At 45.7% G+C, this 22,107-nt stretch overlaps 2 protein-coding genes and 1 pseudogene across 3 annotated transcripts in view, besides 2 other annotated features; 2 read left to right on the top strand and 1 right to left on the bottom strand.

Annotated features, from left to right (window-relative positions):
* TVP23C-CDRT4 (TVP23C-CDRT4 readthrough) overlaps window positions 1-14,622 on the top strand; it is a 127,469-nt gene extending 112,847 nt beyond the window's left edge. For both annotated transcript variants that reach the window (NR_037924.2, NM_001204478.2), the window contains 2 exons: window positions 10,352-10,429; window positions 12,437-14,622. Coding sequence is in view for 1 of the 2 variants with exons in the window: in NM_001204478.2 (NP_001191407.1) it covers window positions 10,352-10,384 (33 nt within the window). In the remaining variant the exon portion in view is untranslated. The remainder of the gene's footprint in view (window positions 1-10,351; window positions 10,430-12,436) is intronic.
* CDRT4 (CMT1A duplicated region transcript 4) overlaps window positions 1-14,622 on the top strand; it is a 31,607-nt gene extending 16,985 nt beyond the window's left edge. Inside the window, exons 3-4 of the mRNA NM_001204477.2 lie at window positions 10,352-10,429; window positions 12,437-14,622. Of these exons, the coding sequence (NP_001191406.1) occupies window positions 10,399-10,429; window positions 12,437-12,864 (459 nt within the window). The 5' untranslated portion in view covers window positions 10,352-10,398 and the 3' untranslated portion in view covers window positions 12,865-14,622. The remainder of the gene's footprint in view (window positions 1-10,351; window positions 10,430-12,436) is intronic.
* Window positions 1,315-1,814: an enhancer, noted in NCBI's record as "H3K4me1 hESC enhancer chr17:15352137-15352636 (GRCh37/hg19 assembly coordinates)". NCBI's record gives its function as "activates a minimal SCP1, AML or CMV promoter by ChIP-STARR-seq in primed H9 embryonic stem cells {active_cell/tissue: H9 hESC(primed)}" and the evidence as "EXISTENCE:reporter gene assay evidence [ECO:0000049][PMID:30033119]".
* Window positions 1,815-2,316: an enhancer, noted in NCBI's record as "H3K4me1 hESC enhancer chr17:15351635-15352136 (GRCh37/hg19 assembly coordinates)". NCBI's record gives its function as "activates a minimal SCP1, AML or CMV promoter by ChIP-STARR-seq in primed H9 embryonic stem cells {active_cell/tissue: H9 hESC(primed)}" and the evidence as "EXISTENCE:reporter gene assay evidence [ECO:0000049][PMID:30033119]".
* RPL9P2 (ribosomal protein L9 pseudogene 2) lies at window positions 6,347-7,024 on the bottom strand (annotated as a pseudogene).
* Window positions 14,623-22,107: the final 7,485 nt, after the last annotated feature.

The following is a 22,107-nucleotide window of genomic DNA, read 5'->3' as shown; positions in this document are numbered from 1 at the left end:
ATGTAGAGCCACAAAACTGATTGCCATCACTTTGGGGATGTGTGGAAATAAAAAAAAAAAAAGAAGGGAACTAGAAATCCTCAATGGAGACAGAAGGAGCTTGCTGAGTGATGGTGGGATTCCACTCCTGTGGCATCATGGAAACCAGGTGGGAGAACATTTCAAGAATGTGAGAGTGAGTGCTCAACTCTATCCATGACCATTGCATTTTGGAAGGTGGAGGGTGAGAGGCCTGAGCTGCAAGTGGAGAGGTGTTCTTTGACAGGAATACAGATGCCTCATTCATAGTAGTGGGAAGGAAGGCATAGTGCAGGGGAGCTTATGGTGGAGAGTTGGTACGAGTGATGGTGGGAGATGAGGGAGTTCTTGATGGATTCTTGGATTTTTCTCAAAGCCGGGCAAGACAAAGACAACCTACAATGGAAGGAGAAGGAGGTGAAGAGGAGGTTTGAAATAGTTGCTTGGTGGGAATATAAAATATTTAACTTCTATTGAAAAAAGTATGAAAATTTCTTAAAGAACTAAACATAGAACTACCATTGGACACAACAGTTCCACTACTGGGAATCTACCTGAAGGAATATAAATCATTTTATCAAAAAGACACCTGCACTCATATGTTTATCCCAGCACTATTCATAATAGCAGTCATGGAATCAACCTAAGTGTCCACCAATGGTTGACTGGATAAGAAAAATGTGGCATATATATGCCATGGAATACTATGCAGCCATGAGAAAGAATGAAAGACTGTCCTTTGCAGCAATATAGATGGAGCTGGAAGCCATTATTCTAAGTAAACTAACCCAGAAGCAGAAAATAAAATATCACATGTTCTCACTTATGACTGGGAGGTAAACGATGTGTACACATGGACATAAAGGTGAAGATAACAGACACTGTGGACTCCAAAAGGGAGGAGGATGAGAGGAGGGTGAGGGTGGAACAATTACCTGTTGGGTACAAAGTTCAATATTTTGGGTGATGGGTTCACCAGGATCCCAAGCCCACCATGACACGATATACCCACGTAACAAACAGGCACACGGACCCTTGAATCTAAAATAAATATAATATTAAAAAAAGAAAGAGTTGCTTGGGGAGTGGAAAAGTGAAAAGAGTAGGAAGGGAGAAGTGTTGGTTGGACTACCTCTGTTGATTGACTTGGAGATAGAGGAGCAAGTGTGTGGAATTATAAAGAAAAGGATTCTGCAGCTAGACTGCCTGAGGGCAAATCCTGTTTTTTGTCACCTAATTGTTGTGTGACCTTGGACAGGCTGCTTAATGTCCCTACAGGCTCCAGTTTACTTGCCTGTGAAATGGGGTTAATACAATAGTACCTAATGCATATGGGTTTTGTTAGGATTTAATTAGTCACTATAGGTAATACACTTAGCGTGTGCCCTGGTCACACCACACGGCATAGAAATGTTAGCTGTTACTCCACGTGGGACCAATCGGCACAGTGGCGTTTTCCTCTCACCAAGTTTAGTTGCTGAGATGACAGCACCCAAAAGAGCCCCACAGGTGGATTGAACTGGTATTAAGGCTTTGCCATGCAAATATGTGTGAAATAAGAGTGAGATGCTTGCAGCTTAGATTTTGGATGTAGCATCGTTATTGGGGATGATAAGAACAGTGGCCTGATCACAGAGGCACGGGTGGTGGAGACTGAGAGGAAGACCTGGTGATTGGAAATGAGCAGGTCAAGGACTGCTGGGCTGGAGGTCTGCACAGATCATTCAGGAGACAATGAAGAAGCCACGGTGATGACAGGGAACAGCGCAAAGGAGGACAGTGTGCCTGGGGCTCAAGTTGTCAGGGACTGAGGGGCAGAGGACAGCGCTCAGGAGCTGGCAGCAACCGGGCAGGTGAGGTGGTGGTGTAGCCTGGGGGCACAAGCTTCAGAGGAGGAGGAAGGAAGGAAAATGGTTTGAGGATGGCAGTAGTGGGGAAGGAAAGTGACTGCCTCCAGGCTCCGGAACAACCTTTCCTTGAGAGGCCTGCAAAGGCCCAGGAGAGAGAGCGCGTCTCCTGATGATGACCTGACAAAGTTCTCTTGGCAGAAAGTCCCAGGGGTGTCTGCGGCAGAAGGGAGAGAGGGTGTGTGTCTCCACATTTCAGCTTCTTACCCTCAGCTTTTCAGATTTTGAATGCAAGGTCATCAGTTTACGTGAGGCCTGAAGTAAAGCCCTACACCTTTTGCTTTCTGGCAATTTCTCAATGTAATTGTGACACACACTATTTATAATACAGTCACTTTCACCTTCCTCTGAGAGCACATGAGTGATTCCCTTCCTGGAAGGGTTAGGAAAGTGTTTTCTGCATGGTCATGCTATGGGCTGGGATATTTGGAGGATGTGCAGTTCCTTAGAAGTGGAGACTGGGGCTTCTTCTAGGTAAAATCTCAAATGCAAGTCACCTTCTTCAAAACAACACTGGCCTGGATTCCTAGTGCTTTGAGCGTTTGAAAAGGGGTGGCTTGGCCCATTGATTGAGCGCAGTCCTGGGAAATGCCGGGCTGTTTCCCTGAAGTGTTCTCCAGGTTCACAATGTCCCTATTGTTTCAACGGAGCAGGACTTCCTTTTTCTGATTGATTAGATATTATGAGGCAACACATTTTAATAGTCACACTGCTCAGGAGCTGTCAGGCAGAGAGAGGGTCTCTGAGCACAAATTGCTTAAAGCCTTTCATGTTTGCTTTCCTGAATATGAGTTTGTAGGGCTATTTCTTGCTGCTTGTTTCTCCGTATCTTTCTTACTTGTCCAGTCTGCCAGTGTACAAGCCTACCCCAAAAATGTCCATGGAAGAAAAAGGTTGAAAAGCTCTCCTCTGATTATGCCTGCTTGGCTAGTTCTGGAAATTCTATTTTTAAATTTGGAACTTGATCTGTAGATAATAGATCAATAGATAATGACCACATGTGTTTTATGCTTAATGGGCCTTCCAATGTCATCTTAAAGTGGGAATTTAATATTTGTAATTGAATATTCCTTGGATAAATATAAAATTCAGATTCATGGTTGTACCTGATAAGTATACAGTGCCTAATGCTTCTTCCCGCAGTGAATTTATAAAGTGTTTCTTCAGCCAATTCAGCATTATAATTCACATGCAGAAAACACACTGTTTGGAAACTGCCTATATTATCTGCATGCTGGAAGAAGAACATGGATCCCGAGTGGGGAAGCACTTCACTCAGGATTTGGAAGCAATGAGGCTGGCATTTAAACCATGCCCACTGCCCATCATTTCCTTTGCCCTTTGAGATCCAGCATAACCATTTTCTCTTCTTGAACCTCCTTCTTGACACTCCTCCCCACCCAGGTTGAATTAGGAAACTGGTGGTCTGTCTTCCTCATGGGGCTGTGAGCTCCTTGAACCAAGACTCAGTGCCTGCCTGATGTATGAGATGCTTAGTCAGTACCTGACTGCAGAGTGGTTGATGGAACATGTATTGTCCTATGTACTGGGAGGCCTCTGCTTTTGTTTCTCGTAACACAGATAGCAATGATTAGTCTGGATTTATCAGCACGGGAAACCTGGATTGCGGACCCTTGACATTGAGAAGGGTAGATCCCAAAGTAAGAGGCAAATGTGGAAAATCCACAGTGGGTCCTGGGTGAGTGCAGGACCTGTCCCTCTTAGAAGAGTAATGTTTGGAGCTCAGGATAGGTTTTTTGAATGTGTGCATGTGTGCATGAATGAATATGTTGAATGGCCATAGGTACTTGAACTGCGTTTTCACCATTGGAAAATAAAATGCCCTCAACGTACACATATAATCGTTACAGAAAATAAAGTATAGAAGCATTATCAAGAAGCAACATATCCCCTCCTTCCCATCATAAGTGATGAATCAGTAATGCCAAGTCTGTGTTAGAAGATGAGCAATTCTGATCAGACTCCCACCTCCCCACCCTGATGTGGTTAGAGACAGCTGATCCACCAGAAAGAGGCACGGTCTGTATAAGAACATGCTAACACTACCAAATGGCCCACTGTATGCAACGTGACTTTTTAAAGATAGTGCGGTAATGGACTTGTTTCTCTCCTTTGTGTGTGTGTTCGTTTCTGGGGAGAGGCGCTAGAGAGGAAGACGTGTCCAGCAAATTATTGCATAGGGAGAGGGAGAGAGATGCCTTCTTTCCCGAAAGACCAATTCGCCCCTCCCCACTCCCATTGCCCTTTGCCTTAACATTTCTACGATTCCCAAGGGTCCCCAGTGTCTGTGTCACTAAAGGCACAAGAAATGGTCATCTTCTTGTGTGCACCCCGCAGAACCCATTTGTTAGAGGTGGGGCAATGGTGACAGTTTCCATGGGATAGGGGCGGGGTAAAGAAGTGGAGAGAGTCAGAAGGGGGCGCCACTGAGAATCCGTAGGTGTGCACTCGGTGCTTCCCAGCGTTTCTGTTTGAAGTTCAGGGAGTCAGCACATGTGCTGGTCCTGTGAGATGGGCAGTTTTGTGGGTCTCTTGTCGGCCCATTCGGGTGGAGATCAGCATGGAAACCGCAAGTTCTGCTAAGTGGATCCTTGCTCAGGAGCATCTTTCCAGATCTCAGAGATAAGCTTTTCAAGACACTTCTGGCTTTAGTGGTAGCTTCCTCTTTAGCCAAACATAAATGAGGAGTGGCTAGAGGGAAGGAAAAAAAGAAAAAAGCAGAGGGCAGGGAGGAGATGGAAGGTCAAAGAGGATAAAATGCAGAGGTGAAATGAGGGTTTGCATCAGGCTCCTGTTTGAGAAAATGTGATTCTCCTTCTGGGGCCAGGCAAGACACTTAGGGATGGCTCAGGAAGAAAAGTGGGAGGTGAGACAAACAAAAGAAGCCTTGCAGATTGGAGCAGAGAAGAGAAGAAAGAGGCTGAACAGAGTGAACACAGGTCTTGTTTCCAGTGGAGCTTTTTCTTCTGCATAGGGACAGTTTTGGGGACTCTGCAGCTGATTTCAGGGAAGGTGATTCATTGAAGACCCTGTTATACCCTGAGCAAGTTCATCATTCTATCCTCTTACTCCATAACATTCTCTGAGGCTTGCAATTCCAAAACAAGGGCAGGAGAAGAACATTTTTTCACTGGTTGCTAGTTCCATGAGATGACCCACGCATTAAATGAATGAATGAATGAGTGATTCCTTGGTCAAATGAGATTAGGGGATGCTGCATATTCAGTCTTCCTTTTGGAGAATTACAGAACAAGTTAACATATATCAGACTCTGAAAATCCTGCTCCAAAGGAATTTTTTTAACATGGCATTTTTTTTCTAACTTAGTTGACTGAGGACAGGCCTGAAATCTTGCAGATTTAGAAGATGTGGCGACTCCTGGGTTGAACAATCTGTATGGCTTTATAGGGCAGCTTTTGCCATGGGCCCCTTCTTTTTCTTTAAGTAATACCTATTAACATCTTGAGGAGAGATTCTTGCATTCTGTGGGACACAGTTTAGGAAACACTAGATTGAGATAATAATCCACTCATCATGACTATGTAAATGGAACTACTTTCACAGCCTTAGTAGGGCAAAAAGTCTGAGTGGGGTCGATTTGTGCCAGAGCACTAATCCATCAATCCTGCCTGGAACCCGTAAAATCCTTTTGCAAGATGGTTTCCTGAGATAAGGATGCAGCTTGCGGCCAGAGAGGGTGAGATCATTAGATTTGCATGAGAGTCCCATGGCGGCCACAGTTTCCTTAGCTCTGTACTTTAAAGCCACTGCTTCTTCTTTGATCTAAGTCAATTTTGGTATTGGCAGGTGGTGGTTGTGGAAATACTTCATGGCCCTTTTAAATGTTTAAAGGCCCTTGAGATGCAGTGCTGACTATAATCAGGGATTCTTGAGTGAAAGCATGTGTCTTAGGACTGGAAAGGGACTAAAAAGATCTTCTGGACCTCTCTCTCTCTCTCTCTCTCTCTCTCTCTCTGCGCTTGGCTAATTTTTATATTTTTAGTAGAGACGGGGTTTCGTCATGCTGGCCAGACTGGCCTCGAACTCCTGGCCTCAAGTGATCCACTCACCTTGGCCTCCTAAAGTGCTGGGATTACAGTGTGAGCCACCGCGCCCGGTTCTTTTTCTGTTTCTAAGTAGTTAATAATAATATTTTATAAATCTTCAATTTGTTTTTGTTTTAGATTCTAGAACAGCAGTTCCCAAATTTTGCTGCACAGAGAAATTGTCTGGGACACTTTTAATTCCAGTGCCTGTACTGCATCCCATTCCAATCAAATCACGATGTTGGGAGTGGGCACCTACATTTGTATTTTTCCAAGATCCCTAGTAATTCCAATGTGCTGCAAAGTTTGGGGACCACTGGGTTTAGAAGCATTTTAATTTCCAGACATTTTTTTTCCAAATCAATAGGTCTTTTATTGCATCTTTTAAATATCACAAGTAGGTCTTAGGAATCATCCGGCATCTTGTTTCTGTAGCTGGACATCTCTTAGATCTTATTCATCGGCCTGCTGAACAGTTCCTTTTTCAGAGACATATATACCATCCAAAAATTTCCTGATTGCCTTGTTTTTAACTGTTGTGGCTTGCTGAATCAAAGTCGCTGAATTTGAAACAAGCTCAATGTTGTTTCCTTCATCTTTCTGGGTTTGAGATACTGAACAGGCAACACTTGGTCTCATCCAAACCCTGTGGATGTATTTTTCACCCAAGAAATTTTGGATTTCGACAGGAGACCCATTCTCCTGGATAACAACATTGATGGGGAAGTGAGCATACACAGACCTCAACTTGTAGTGGAAGCCCAGTGTGACACCCTTGATCATGTTCTGTACATGAGTAAAATAGTCCAAACGGTAGCAGTTCCTTTCCGTTACCCCACCCTTTGTCAACCCGGAGCCTTTTTTGTTTTCTGTCCGAGAAGACTGGGTTCTACACTGATGTGATTGAAGTCCCTCTGGGGCCCTTCACGATAACTGTGTGTCCCTTCAGAGTAATGTTGACATTTTCTAGAATGTTAGCAGTCTGATTGCTGAGAACGGTCTTCATTCTCGCAGCAGACATGGCAAAGAAAGCAATTACCAGACATTTTTAAAACAACTGTGGGCTAGGTGTTATGATTCACACCTATAATCCCGGCACTTTGGGACGCAGAGGTGGGAGGATCGCTTGGGCCCAGGAACTTGAGATCAGGCAAAATAGCGAGACCCCTGTCTCTACTAAAAAAAAAAAAAAAAAAAATTATCCAGCTATGGTGGTGTGTGCCTGTAGTCCCAGCTACCCAGGAGGTGAAGGCAGGAGGATTGCTTGAGCCCAGGAGTTCAAGGCTGCGGTGAGCTACGATCGTGCCACTACACTCCAGCCTGAGTGACAGAGTGAGGCCCTGTCTCTAAAAAAAAAAAAAAGAAAGAAAAAAAGAAATTACAGAACTGTGTCTTCTGGGACAGGAGTTCATCCTCTTCCTCATTTTGTAAGTGACAACTGAGGTCCTAAGAAGTTAAGGAAGGTGATCAAGGTTGATTGTTTCACGTTCCAGGTAATTGAATGATTTAGGCCAAACCTAGTCTGTCAGACTAGATTCTGAAAATGGTGGGATGAGAGATTGAGCGGGGGAGTGGGGAGCTGGCTCTGAAAGCCCAGTAGTCTGAACTTGGGCTTTGTGTCTGTAGGAAAAACAAGAAAGCCGCTTCAACGCTCTGCCTCCTGCCCCTCCCGTCAATGCTGTTTCTGTCTGTAGACTGCTGGTTTGCATTTCATTTACAGGGACACAAAATGGAACCTTTGTGCTGGAATTGAAGGAAATTATAAAAGCCCACAGCTTCTCTTCAGACTTAATGTCAACTATTTGTCTCCTGTTATTTTCAAACAAACAAGTCCTCCCCATGAGTTTTGAGGCAGTCTCAAACACTCCCTCCCTTGGTTCTTTTTATCGTTTCCTAGTTCCTGCTTCAGCAGGTACGAGAAAAACCCACCATTCGTAGACTTGTCCTATCAGCCACACGGCACAGCTGTAGGGGTCAGGTGAGTCCTGGCCAGAGGCTCTGAGCAGGATGGTGGGTCACACAGATGCACACAAGTCTGGAAACAAATGTTTGTAAGACTGGGCTTTCCTGAGGCTTCAGGGTTCATCAACTAGAAACTTAGAAGCAATGATGAAAGGAATGACTCCCAATCCCTCCAAATACTGCCAGCTGAAACATATTTCCACCATCTGGCATCCTATTTACAGATGAGAAGATGAAGAAAAATTTCTTTCTTTCTTTTTTTTTTTTTTCTTGGAGACGGAGTCTCACTCCTTTGCCCAGGCTGGAGTGCAGTGGCACGATCCCGGTTCACTGCAACCTCCGCCTCCTGGGTTCAAGTGACTCTTCTGCCTCAGCCTCCTGAGCAGCTGGGATTACAGGCATGCATCACCACGCCCAGCTAATTTTGTATATTTAGTAGAGACAGGGTTTCACCATGTTAGCCAGGCTGATCTCGAACTCCCAACCTCAGGTGATCCGCCCGTCGTGGTCTCCCAAAGTGCTGGGATTACAGGCATGAGCTACCGCGCCCAGCCAAGAAATTTCTAACAATGCTAAAATATGGAAGAAGTAAAGAGTTCTATTTTCACTAGAGGTGGACAGGCCCAAGTTGGGTGGCCACTTGCGTGTCATGTGCTGTGTTATGGGGGACTTGGAATGGGTGACTTTAGATTCTGAAGCCTTATGGTAGGTCTTAGAAGGAGAACTAAGATGCTTTACCTTACAATTAAAAAAAAATGATGACATGAAACTTTCTCTACGTTAGATGACTATTTGAGCATTATTTCTTCCCTAGCCTCAGAATAATGACATTGTGAATTCTTCTAGAACTGCACTGCTGTGGAAGATTGGCACTGATACCCACAGCAGGGACTCTGTAAGATCTGTCTCTAAATAGGTTTGACAAAAAGAGCATTTTTTTGGGAGTATGAATGAATCTCCGGGATGCCATCCTTTGTTAGATGTGTTATAATAAAATGCTGGAATGTGTGAATAATTTACTCTATAAAAATAGTGGAATTTAAAGTTGACCCTGTCAATGACACACTCACTACCATTCCACAATAGTTCCTTGATTAGGGAAAAAGGGGGATGAAAAACCTGGGAACTGCTTATCTCGGAGGAGTGTTCCATGCAGAAATGAGTCAGCCCTCACGTACGTGGCAGCTGATAAAAAAGGCTTAACACCCACTACTCAGTCTAAACCAGGGCTACGCAGAGTATGAACCACAGGCCAGCAACATCAGTATCATTTAGGAGTTACTTAGAGATGCAGATTCTCAGGTCCTCAAAACAGACCTACTGAATCAGAATCTCTAAGGTGGGACCTGGGTGTCTGTGGTTGCACAAGGTCTCCAGGTGATTCTAGTACTTGGTAAAATTTGAGAAGCACTGCCTTCGACCCATGGTTCTCAAAGTGTGATCGCCAGACCAAAAGCACCAGCATCATCTGGGAGCTGTTCAGAATTATCTGAGACTCTTTCTCAATGGGCTTTTGCAGGTGATAGTAGAAATGCTTCATGGCACTTTTAAGTGCTTAAAGGCCAAAGAGATGGCAAAATCGAATATAGAAATGTAATGAACTCTTAGGCATACGCATGTGTCTTAGAGCTGGAAAGGAACCAAAAAGATCTCCTGGACTCATTTCTTGTCTCTAGGTAGTTAATAATATAACCTTACAAATCTCCAGTAGTTTTTTTTTCTTTCCCCCTTTTGGCTTAAAACAGCGGTTGCTAAATCAGCAGTTCTGGAGGTGGGCTCAGCAATCTGGGCTTTAACAAGCTCTCCAGGTGGATGCAGCCTCAAGTTTGAGAACCACTACACTATGGTTTCCATCAGATTTCCCCCCTGCATGGTTGCATAGAGCATTAGACTTCCATGTTTCAGCCTGGGCTTGGGGCCCTGGTAGCTGACTCCTGGCCACTGCCCATCTCTGCTACCTTCTGTCATTCCAGGCTGAGAAGTGCAGGTTGGATGTCGTGCTTGTAGTAATGTGACCACTCTTGGACTCTGGTAGAGGAGATAGAAAGGTTTTGAAACGGGGACTTTTTTTTTTCACTTCCCCTCTGTGGACCAGCCTCCACACAGCCCCCAGCCTACCCAGCCTCTCTCCTTTAAAGTTAGGAGACTGGAAAGCAGAACACCCAGAGACTATCATGACAGTCTACAGCTCTTGAGCAAGGCCATGCCTGCAGGCCTTTGCGGGGCTCACTTGGCCTGTCTCCAGCTCCACAAAAAACATGTCCTCTTCTCAGGGGGTGGAGTCATCTTAGCCTCATGCAGTGACCATATAGGACTTAGAACCACCCCCACCCAGGGTGGCTACTAATTGCTTTCCAGTTTGAGGAGGCTCTGGCTAACAAGTGTATTTTCCCATAGGAATCTGAACCTGTGATGTTAAGAAATCAGTAAATATTAAAAAGAAGATGGATGCAAGAAGGATGAAGAAAGAAGAAGGTAGGGTTGGGAGTGTTACCAGTGGAAGCTCCTGCACTGGGGCCGTCTAGGGTTGGAGGATTCGCAGTGGGAAGAGGCCACTGGGCGGCCACTCTTTTTTTTTTTTAATATATATTTTTATTATACTTAAAGTTCTAGGGTACATGTGCACAACGTGCAGGTTTGTTACATATGTATACATGTGACATGTTGGTGTGCTGCACCCATTAACTCATCATTTACATTAGGTATATCTCCTAATGCTATCCCTCCCCCCTCTCCCCACCACAAACAGGCCCCAGTGTGTGATGTTCCCCTTCCTGTGTCCAAGTGTTCTCATTGTTCAATTCCCACCTAGGAGTGAGAACATAACGGTGTTTGGTTTTTTGTCCTTGTGATAGTTTGCTGAGGATGATGGTTTCCAGCTTCATCCATGTCCCTACAAAGGACATGAACTCATCATTTTTTATGGCTGCATAGTATTCCATGGTGTGTATGTGCCACATTTTCTTAATCCAGTCTATCATTGTTGGACATTTGGGTTGGTTCCAAGTCTTTGCTATTGTGAATAGTGCGGGCAGCCACTCTTGTTATGGTGGCAGAGAACACAGCATGTTCAGGAGATGGAACGGGGTTGCTGCTCATTTTGCTCCAGGCGTTTGAATTTGGACTCTGCCAGATCCATGCAAATGCCCTATCCCACAAGATCTTACATTTGCTTGGAGGAGGCAAGGGTGAACAGTCTGTGCTTGGAGGCCTTGCTGGGAAGTTTCTAGTGAGAGGTAATGTCACACATGACTTTTACAGGGAGATGGAATCCTTCTACAGCACATTCTTTACTGACAGATCTGTCCCCAGACAAGCTCCAGCTCCTGGACAGCCACGAGGCAGCGTGGGAATAACTATACGACCTACACTTCACTTGATTATCCCCATTTACGGCATTTTTTTTTTTAACTGCATTCAATTTGGAGATGGCAAGATGACTCTTTTAACTCTCCTCCCTGCAAAACTCCAGTTGAAATGACCAAAGAAATATAGAATTAGGGAAAGAATGCACCACATAAGAACACAGAGGAAGGTAGCAGCTGCAGGAGAGAAATTGAATCATTTCTGCTAAATAGAGTGACGTTGCTAATGAAAGATGGGAAGGACTGACATGCCCATGATTTTGGATCTGTAAAGGAACAGGCTGCTTGATAAACTAATGCGTTGAATTTCTAGCAACACCCACCCCCCTCGGCAAACACCCCAAACTTCTGGCCAGCAACCATAGTGAAAAGCTTTGGTTTTTTTGAGCCTTGTTAAGCTTGAGTTCAAACCCACCACTTGTTAGTCGTGCAAGCTAGTCAGCCTCAGTTTCGTCCTCTATTAAATGGGAGAATACCTACCTTATAAGGTGTAACTAGAAGTAAATGAAAGAGTTTAGGCTGGGAGACATAGCCGAAGGTTTTAGTCACTGTGCTAAAAGCTTAACATAAGTTATCTTTAATCCACAAGAAAGTTCCATGAACTTTGTCTTATTCTAATCACCATTTTACAGATTAAGCACTTGAAGTTTAGCAAGGTTAAGAAACTTGTTCAAGGTTCACAGCTATGAAGAGGGTAGAGTAGGAATTTGGAGCAGACAAGTACAGAACCCATGCTTTCAAGCACTAAGTGTACTGTTCCAAGCCCTTGAAATATATTACTTTCTTTAGTTCTCAGGCCTTAGACTAACCATTTTTATTGGTGAAAAAATAGAAGTTCAGGGGTAAAACAATTTGAGGTTATGCAAATATTTAAAATCAATCAGATCTGTTTGACTCTGTCTCTTGCTCCTTACCATTCTTTCGTTGTTTAATTGATAGACTTTCTAGGATGTCGTTCTGTTCCCCCACTTTGAATTGGATTTTATTCCTACTGAATACAAGGGGTGCAAAATAGGGAGGACTTCAAAATCTGGTTCCAATGCCTTCCCATTTTTTGAAGAATCAAGCTATTGCATGTGACTGCCTCTAAATGGCCTGCATTTCTCTTTGTTGGTAGGACTCACAGAAAACACTGGACTTCCCCGGAAGCTACTTGAAAAACATGACCCCTGGCCGGCCTATGTCACCTATACCTCTCAGACAGTGAAAAGACTCATTGAGAAAAGCAAAACTAGAGAACTGGAATGCATGCGTGCCCTCGAGGAAAGACCCTGGGCATCAAGGCAGAATAAACCTTCCAGCGTCATTCAGCCGAAAAGGAGGAAGTCTTCCAAGTCTTCTGGCAAAGCTGTGTTCAGGGACACGCTGTCAGAATCCACGTTATCAATGTGGGGCGCTTATTCGGTATTGGCCATGGCTCCTACCATGATCCCAGAACCCACACACTTACATGCGGATTCCAGAGACTGTCCAACTGAAAACTATAACAAGATCATCTTTGCCCGCAAGCCTATGATGAGGATGCTCCCTACAGTTCGCTACTGACCAACAAGGAGAAACATGCAAATGTTTTAGCCAGGGGTCCCTGCAGCCATTCCCCAAGAACGTACAAAAGTTAAGCTCCATTTACCACTCACTTGACAGTGTCCTTTAAATCTGAACTTGCTCTTGCTCATGCGGAGCTTGGCTAAGAGAAACCAGATCAGAATGCAAGCTGTAGGTGGGTGGGTGAGTGTGTCCCCTCCCACACTGCTCTCTGGTGGGTTTGGGCAGTCCCTGGCTCTAGTCTCTGCTGCAGATTCTCAGGACCAAAATGTGGGTGATTTGTCTGGGTCCAGGCAGGAGACAGAAATCACACAAGCTCTTTTATTAGAGATAATATAAAGAATGATTAACCAGGTGACAGTAAAGGGCAGGAAGGGAATACAAAGGTATCCATGGAGGTAGCACCACAGGAAGCAGGCATCACACTTGAGGCTTGGGAACAAGGGGAAGATGCTGGACTCATTGAAAGGTGGTTGCTTGGAGAAGGGACATGGGGCTGAATCTCAGACTTCTGAGGTGGGGGAGTGGGGATGCCACTCAATGCAGCTGGTATCTCTGAGCTCTGAGGAGAGTCCTGTGGGGATGGTGCCCCCTCCTCTGAATAGGGGAGATGTTTTGTTGGTGTCTCTGAGGGGACCCCCATGAGGCTGCTTTTGTGAGTGTTGGAAAAACCAAAAACTGCATTGAAATGTTTCTGGGAGGAGTTGCCACTGCCTGGGTGAAGAAAAAGCACTGCTAGGGTTAGCAACCTGTCTGGCAAGGGACAGGAAGCTGATAGAAAGTGAACAGGAAGCAAACAGGAAGTGAGCAAGGGGCCACTTCCTACTTCCTCCTTTAGCCTAGCAGATTCCTTCTAGCTCCCCCTGGGGGCTGAGCCTATCAGGGCACAAAGCCAGAATGTGGTTTGTAGAATCCCAGCCCCAGCATCTCCAAGCATAGGATGGATTTTGAAGCCAAGAGGGAATTAGCTCTCGGCCGGGTTCTGAGTGATCCCATCCAGCTGCTCCTGGACCTGGTATTGAGAGGTTTTTCCCTTGGAGGGCAAACAAAGTGGCAGTGGGGACCAGGGTGTCCCCTGCTGAGAAATGGAGAGCTCTTTTCCCCTGTACTTCTCTGGGGTTTGCCTTGTGGAACCAAGTGCTTGGGGGAGGAGCTCCTGGCAGGACTCCAGCTGTTATTTGTCAGAGGACAGCTAGGATTGGTTCACCCTTGCTCTGAGTTGGCCCCAAAGCGAGCTATGCTGAACTCTTCTCCATCTCCAAGCAGACAACCTTTGTCTTTACATGCAAGAGGGATCCAATTATGACAGGCTGACCCAGCTGGTTTCATGTTTGGGGTTTATCTACTGAGTAAGGCTGACCTTACCTGAGTTTCTGTATGTGTATTTGCAAGACAGTTAATACTAATCCATCATCCCTCACAGAGATGTAGAGGATGAGATGTAGTAACTTATAGCAGTGTCATTTGGAAAAGTTGAATTTGCCCTACAAGGCATGTTCTCCATTCAAGGGTCTTGTGTAAACGTTTGCAGACACAGGTGCAGCTTTGGAGAACTCACCTCTGGCTCTTGTGCTTTTATGTTGGGACAGCTGCCTAAATTAGGAGCTCTAGACCTGTTATTGGTTCCCAACTGTTGGCCAGAATGAATTCTTCGAAAAATATAGGTGGTTTCCAGGGAATTTGAATGATTGTATTTTGTGTCCATGGAACGTTTATAGACATGGAGGCAGGCAATAAATTCCTCCAATAATTTTTTTATCTCTTTTGTTCTTTTATGGGTGTTTCTTTCTAGGTTATATTTGGGAAAGTATGGATTACAGAGACTCATTGAGTGCTAGAGATTATTGGAATTTGGGGTTATTTCTTTTAATACCTTCAAGGGCAGAGTGGTATGGTAACTTACTGAAGGTTGCACAGTTGGTTTTTTAAAATTTCTAAGCATTTAATAGTTTTTAGAAAAGTATGCACTCTATAAATTAAAATAATTTTTCTGTGTGTGGGTTTTTTTTTTTTTTTTTTTTTTTGAGACACAGTCTTGCTCTGTCACCCAGGCAGGAGGGCAATGGCACAACCTCTGCTCATTGCAACCTCCACTGCCAAGGTTCAAGAATTCTTCTGCCTCAGCCTCCTGAGTAGCTGGGATTACAGGCACCCGCCACCAGGCCTGGCTAATTTTTGTGTTTTTAGTAGAGATGGGGTTTCCCCATGTTGGTCAGGCTGGTCTTGAACTCCTGACCTCAGGTGATCTGCCCGCCTTGGCCTCTCAAAGTGTTGGGGTTTACAGGCATGAGCCACCGCACCTGGCAAAATAATTTTTCTATAGATATCATTGTTTAAATTAATTTAATTCTCAGCCTATTATAACAACACAAGCATGAGCCTAGGATATCATTAACATCTGATGTTGTGGTAGAAATTGTCTGTGTTCCGTGACTGTGGTCCAGAAGCATTACCTCCTAAGGCAATTTAACAAAGAAAAAGAGTCTAATTCCTTTGAATGGGGAACTCTGCTTAAGCCCGAGCTGGGACTCGCAGGTCTGGCTAACACCGAGACTTAACCAGCCATGACTATATGAATTCCGCCAGAGAAGAAGCAGCTGGATCCAGTAATGAAGCCTTGGTCACTGGGGGAGGAGGCTGATCCTGGGGGAGGAGGATGACCTGCCATGTCTGATGCTCAGATTTGTCCCTTGGTTCAGCTCTTCCTGAGTGCCATGTGCGTGGCGATCAATGATTCAAACTCTCAAACAGCTCTTTCACTAAAAATCCTGGAAGGCCCTGGGGTACACATAAAAAGTGGGGCGAGATCTTGACTTCACAATGCATCAACAAGAAGGTCCCACCGCTCTGGGTATGGACAAGAAACAGCCAGGTCTGGTAGACCCAATGGGTGGTTGGCAGGACCAGCTTTGCTCATGAGGAACCAAGAGACATCCTTGGCACTCCCAGAAATAGACATGGAGCCCTTGCTAAGGCCTGAAGTTCATCACGAGCAGCCAGGGCATGGAGTGGAATGCAGGTTATTCCTAATGTAACCTCATCGGTCTGTCCAAGCTGGAGAGGCCCGGGGTATCTCAGGTTACACTAAACATATTTAACTTACATCTCTCAGAGGGACCTGGCTTTCTCTAATGTTCCACAGCCCGCAGCCTCTTTTTATTTATCTCCTCTGCATATGGAATTGTCTGCTTGGCAGGAGAGCTGTTTCAATTAGTCTCCCTGACGTAGTAGGTTCATGAAACATCAGAATATGTATTTTGTTAGTCCGTCTGTGTTGCTCTGTAACTAAGGCCCCGTCTGACACACATTGAGCAGCTGCTTTGAGCAGATTCTTTGGCTCCTTGTACAGAGTATGGTATTTACCCATTTGCAAATTCCACGGTTGGCGTTTAAACAGTTGAAGTTTAACCTCGGCAACATGACTGAGCCTGCTGGTCATTTTCATGTTGGCAGGGGCTATTAGGACATCAAATAGTTCCACATTCTGCAGCCTTTTTAGCAGTGGCCTGGGAGCATGTCTTAAAGGAGATTAGTCTGCATGACAGATAAGAGGCTGCAGGAGGCTGGGCACGGTGGCTCACACCTGTAATCCCAGCATTTTGGGAGGCTGAGATGGATGAATCACCTGAGGTGAGGAGTTTGACACCAGCCTGGCCAACATGGTGAAACACCGTCTCTACTAAAATACAGAAAAAATTAGCCAGGCATGGTGTTGGGTGCCTGTAATCCCAGCTACTCAGCAGGCTGAGGCAGGAGAATCACTTGAACCCGGGAGGTGGAGGTTGCAGTGAGCCAAGATCGCGCCATTGCACTCTAGAGCCTGGGCAACAAGACCGAAACTGTGTCAAAAAAAAAAAAAAAAAAAAAAAAAGCTGCAGGAAAGTGTTCAAGGAGGTAACTGCATAAACAAAGGCGCAGTGCAGATGTGGGCAAGCCAGATATTTGGGGGTGGCCCAGGAGCCCTCTAACTGGAATAGAGGTCGGGTGAGACCTAAACAAGGAGCAGTTATCGAGTTTATCAACAGCAAGTGTAAGAGCCACTTTGGAATGAGACCAGAGCAGTATGACCAGTCCCTTAGTCTTTTTTTTTTTTTTTTTTTTTAGGACAGGGAAAACAAGACGGGCACCCTGAGGTAGGGATTTTGATCCTTGGGTCCTAAAGGGGGTCTTCAGAGGCAGTGGAGGAGTCACATGGAGCAGCGCAGCTCTCGGTGGTGGAATCCCAACCAGGGACTGACGATGCATCCAGGAAGATGAGAATCTAGGAGTAGGAATGCCGGCCCTGCAGCCTCACTCCATGTGGACAGCGGTTGTGAAAAGATGGTTAAAGTGCTTTGCGAGCTGGGTCCAAGCAGATGTACACATCTGGACAATGTGGCTCTTTTCAGCCTTGATTGAGTCATTCATTCTTGGAGGCTTTTTGGAATCCCCACACTTTTAGACCAAAGGGCACATTTTCAGAGCCCACACATTATCAGTGCCAGATAAGAGTAGACAGATTGAGAAACCAGGGGAGGTAGAGCCAGGGAAGGGGAGTAAACACAACCTGAGGTTTATTGTGATCTGATGTTGTCAGAGCCTGGGCTGAAGCTAAGGGCTGGGCTTATGTTTGTCAAGCAATCAGGAAAACCTCTGTCTTCTTCTTTCACTACACATCCCCACATCACCTTCCCTCTGTCTCTCACCAGGAACCCAAGGCTTCAGCCAGCTACTGTGGTGCTTGCAAACCCCACAACAGTGTCCTAGATCTGTAAGGCATGGCTAGGCTGGGCCTGTCCCCAGCTCTGAGCATGTGTGTGGGAACATGGGGGCATGCTGGGCAGGGCCAGATGGAGATGAAGGAATACCTCATGTTAGGTGGGGCTTGAAGCCACCCCATATTCTCTGCCTTGAGCCTGACAATTATCTGATTTCTTTATGGGGCAGGCCAGAATATACAGGTGCCCACTCTTGTTAGCACACTGCTCAGGGCAGCAGATGGCATGGAAAAGACCTTGGACTTGGTGCTGAGACCTTGTCTTTTCTCCCAGGCCCTATATTCCAGGGCCAATGGAAATTCCAACCCCATCTATGGCCTTTCTAGGAAGCTTCTATTGCTGGGGGCCCAGCAAAGCTCATGGTATCAATTCACTTCCTTTCTAGATTCAATTGGTCAGCCACCTGGAGCATTCCATTATTTTTGGTAGACAAAGGGATGTGAGAGGCCACAGGATTTCAGGCAAGTTAAAAACCTGACCCTTGGGGTTGTTTCTGTGTGTCTGCCAATGGGGAGGGTTTTTATGGAGAGCAAAGTTAGTTCCAGAAGTTCTAACTTGTGGAAGGAAGAAAGGTGGCCTTCAATGTGCCAAGGTCTCTTGCTCACATTTTTGCATTTTGGAGCTTGTTTAAGCTCCCATAGGCTTAGGCCTATGCTCCCTAGTTGATTAGATAATTATGGAAGGAGGAGAGCCCTTTCGAGATTGGAACTTGGGCCTCTCAATTCCAAGTGCAGGCAGCTTCCCCTAAATTCAGATCTCCTCTTCATTGGTGTTACCCATGACAACCCTGCTGGTGTTCTCAAGTAGAGCAGATGTGTTTGTCCAGTAGCTGCTGACCCCAGTTTCAGCCATGGCTCCTCTACTGTGAAGCAGCCCCGTTGGAGACCCCTCTTCATGTGGCCAGTTTACCGTGTGTCCCTGGACCAGCAGAGGTAGGATGGTGAGGCTGGAGGTCCCATGAGACCTGGGTGAGGTCAGCTGTGTTTGCCGTTATATTTCCAGAGCCCTGCAACGGCCTGGCACAGAGTCGGTGCTCAAGTATTTATTGAGCAAGTGATTTGTGAGAACAAGGCTTAGCACCCAATCTAAAGTGCACTGGGAAGAGGTGGTTTCTTTCATCATATCCACAGGCTGGAAAAACCACTTGGCTTTTTGTAAAGTTTGAAGCACTGAGTAGGCAGCTCTGCTATGAAGGTTATGAAGGTTCCGTCTAGACCCAAGAGTATGATTTGAGTGAACTCTTCAGTAAGTTCCTTTCATGTACCCTTCCTTACGGGATATTAGAGAGAGAGAAGGGACGGGAGGCACAAGTTCAAAAAACTTAACATATAGTGATTCTATTCTTTTAAATGACCAATCCATACCTATCTGATGGAATTCCAAGTAGATTTCCTTTTCTTTAGCCTTCATCAGAAGGGACGTAATTTCCCAGACCCAGCTTGCTCCTTGTTCCCATGTTTGCAGCATGCCAACAGGCATCCAACAAATATGCACCCAGTGCTGCCTGTGCCAGGGCCCCAGCCGTGGACACAGGAGACGCAATCAAGCTTACGTTCTGGCAGTGGAGCATTAGACAAGCGCATGATCGCATTGCAGTGGTGATGCGAGTTACGAAGTGCAGGGCTCTGTGAGTGTATTTGCTTTAGGCTCATGACGTGTTGTTCTCTCAGTCTCATGAAAGAGGGATTATGGAAAGAGGCAGGATTAGTATCAGGACAGCTGCTCATAAAAAGGAGTGAGGTCATGGCGAATTTTTGGCCAAGTTGAATGTGAGTGGCTGCGTAGGTTTTTAAAACTTTGCAAAGCTGCTTTCGGGTTATATTCAGCCCCTACATCCAGGTCTGTTTCTGTAGCGCCATGGAGCGACCCCTGGTTCAGTCAGGCTTTAGGTTAGGGCATCTCTGTCTGTAGCCCTGTATAGTGACAGCACAGAGGAAGTGTCAAACATGTGTACACTGTTTGTTCCAGGACTCTTATTCCCTGACTGCCTCTCTATCCTAGAGGGCTGAGCTGGGCAGCTACAAAGGAGACCTCAAGCCTTCCTCAATGTCCTCTCCAGACCTGGGGCAGGTGCCAGGTCTAAGCCTTCAGCATCTGGCTCCTGGCCTGCTGGACCCCACCTCACATTTCTAGTTCTCCAGAGCAAAAGGACTAGCTCTGCCTCTCATTTCTTGACTGTGGCAGACAGCCCCTGCTCCCTACTGGCGTGGCCAGATTTCCGGGGGCCTCTCTGTAGACTGCGGTGTGGGGTGCATTTCAACCGTGACCTTGCCCTCGTTCTATCTCCTTCCAACCTCTTTGGTTATAGCCATAGTACTCCTCACTCTGTCTTTTACTCTTCTTTCCTTCCTTTCCTTTCTTCAACTTTCTTTCTTCCCATTGCCTCCCTCCCTCCTTTCCCTTCTTCTCTACCTTTTGAGCTTCATTGATTATCCTTTAAATTAATCAAATTTAAATTAATCAAAATTAAATGATGCTTGTTGCAAGTAACTTAGGTTTTCTTGAAGTGTAATTGACAAGTGACGCTGACCCTGTCAAACTTAGGGGGAGCATATGTTCTTTAATACTCAGGTATTAGGAGTAGGAGCTCCAGCCTGAGGACAAAGGGGAGTTTCCGCCTACTTTCTGGGAAGCTCTAAGAAATGCTTGCGTATTCCACAAAACCACCCTAATGGCCACTGGTCCCCTCCGGCCACCCATCTCCTCCCTGAAGCAGCTGCTGCAGGATCCCAGGCCACTGCTGTTCTGCCCTTCCCCACCATAGCTATTCGGTCCCCCTGCAGCTTCCCAAAGCACAGCTCTGCTAGGTTCGCCACAGCCAACCATGTCTGCTGTGACGGATTGGGGATATCAGAAGCTAAACAGAGTAAATTACAATTGCTACCATAAGTGGCTACTCTGGATGGGGTGGTGGATGGCGGGCGGAGGGTGGTGGCCTAAATCACAACCTAAATGTGATTTCTGTTCCCTGGTGAGGGCCGGCTCACCCTTCAACATGGATCTCAGTGTATCTGCATAACTCAAAATCCAGGTCTAGTTTTTCCTTAATCCTGGAGGTACTGGGGCGTCCTGCACCTTACTTTGCCCTGTCCATAGGTTCCCTCTTTTCTTGATCATAGACAAAATTACCCCTGAGAACAACAACAGCCTCATCCATGAGATGTAGTTTAGTTTTCCTGGTGTGGAAAAGAAAACTGCAACATCCAACAGTACACTTTCTGTTGCACGACTTGTTCAGTCAGGAAATACAGTGCATTTGGAGCGTCAGAATGATTTAGCAGAGCAGGGGGCTTTTGTCTGGTCCTCTTTAGAGTCCCACTGCCAGAACATGGGGGAAGTTAAGACTTATAATCACCCATAGCTTTCAAACAGAACACACATAGCATCTCCACCACCACCAAATGACCACCTTCATCATCTTCATCTGCAACCCCATCACTACCGCCATGACCATCACCACCATACCACTACCACCACCATCACCACCACCATCACTGTGACCATCACCTCCACCTCCACCTTCATTACCACCATCACCACCACCACCACCTCCATCTCCACCTGCAACCCCAGCACTACCACCATGACCACCACCACCATCACTGCCATCACCATCATTACCATCACCTCCACCTCTACCTTCAACATCACCATCACAATGACCACCACCATCACCACCAGAAACACTGAATAAAATAATGAAAGTGCAGCCTTAGGCTGGGCACGGTGGCTCACACCTGTAATCCCAGCACTTTGGGAGGCTGAGGCGGGCAGATCACTTGAGGTCAGGAGTTCGAGACCAGCCTGGCCAACATGGTGAAACCCCGTCTCTACTAATGTGAAATACTAAATGTAAAAATACAAAAATTAGCTGGGTGTGGTGGTGGGCACTTGTAATCCCAGCTACTTGGGAGGCTGAAGCAGGAGAATCACTTGAACCCCGGGAGATGGAGGTTGCAGTGAGCAGAGATTGTGCCATTGCACTCCAGCCTGGGCGACAGAGTGAGACTCCATCTCAAAATAAATAAATAAATAAAAATTAAAAAAAAATAAAAAAGAAAGTGCAGCCTTTATTTCTTTATTTATTGAAAAATCTTTCTGTAAATTAGCAAAGGCCCAGTCTCAATAAAAGACCGATTTCATATCACCCAATAGAATGTTTTACATCCACATCAAAGGCAGCAGCTTTTGGGTTACTTCACTAACTCTGGACACCCCCAAAACATAAATCCGCACAAATAAACTCCAAAGTGAGCCCTCTCAGAAGAAAAGCAAGATTTGACCAAGAAATGAATGCTGACTTTCTAGAATGCAGAAATCCTCAGAGTTCTTAACCTGGCTCCCGCGGACTTTCAAGACATCCACAAATAGAATCCAGGAGTCCTTGCACTTGGATGGGAAAAAAAATTATAGCTTTGTTTTTATTAAACCTCTCACTGGATATGAGCATTTCCTTCAGTGAAGTATTACCAATACCTGTGACTTT

Source organism: Homo sapiens, chromosome 17 (genome assembly GCF_000001405.40).
Source record: "Homo sapiens chromosome 17, GRCh38.p14 Primary Assembly".
Taxonomy (NCBI): Eukaryota; Metazoa; Chordata; class Mammalia; order Primates; family Hominidae; genus Homo; species Homo sapiens.
The sequence above is the reverse complement of the archived record's forward strand: the minus strand, read 5'-3'. Positions and strand labels throughout refer to the sequence as shown.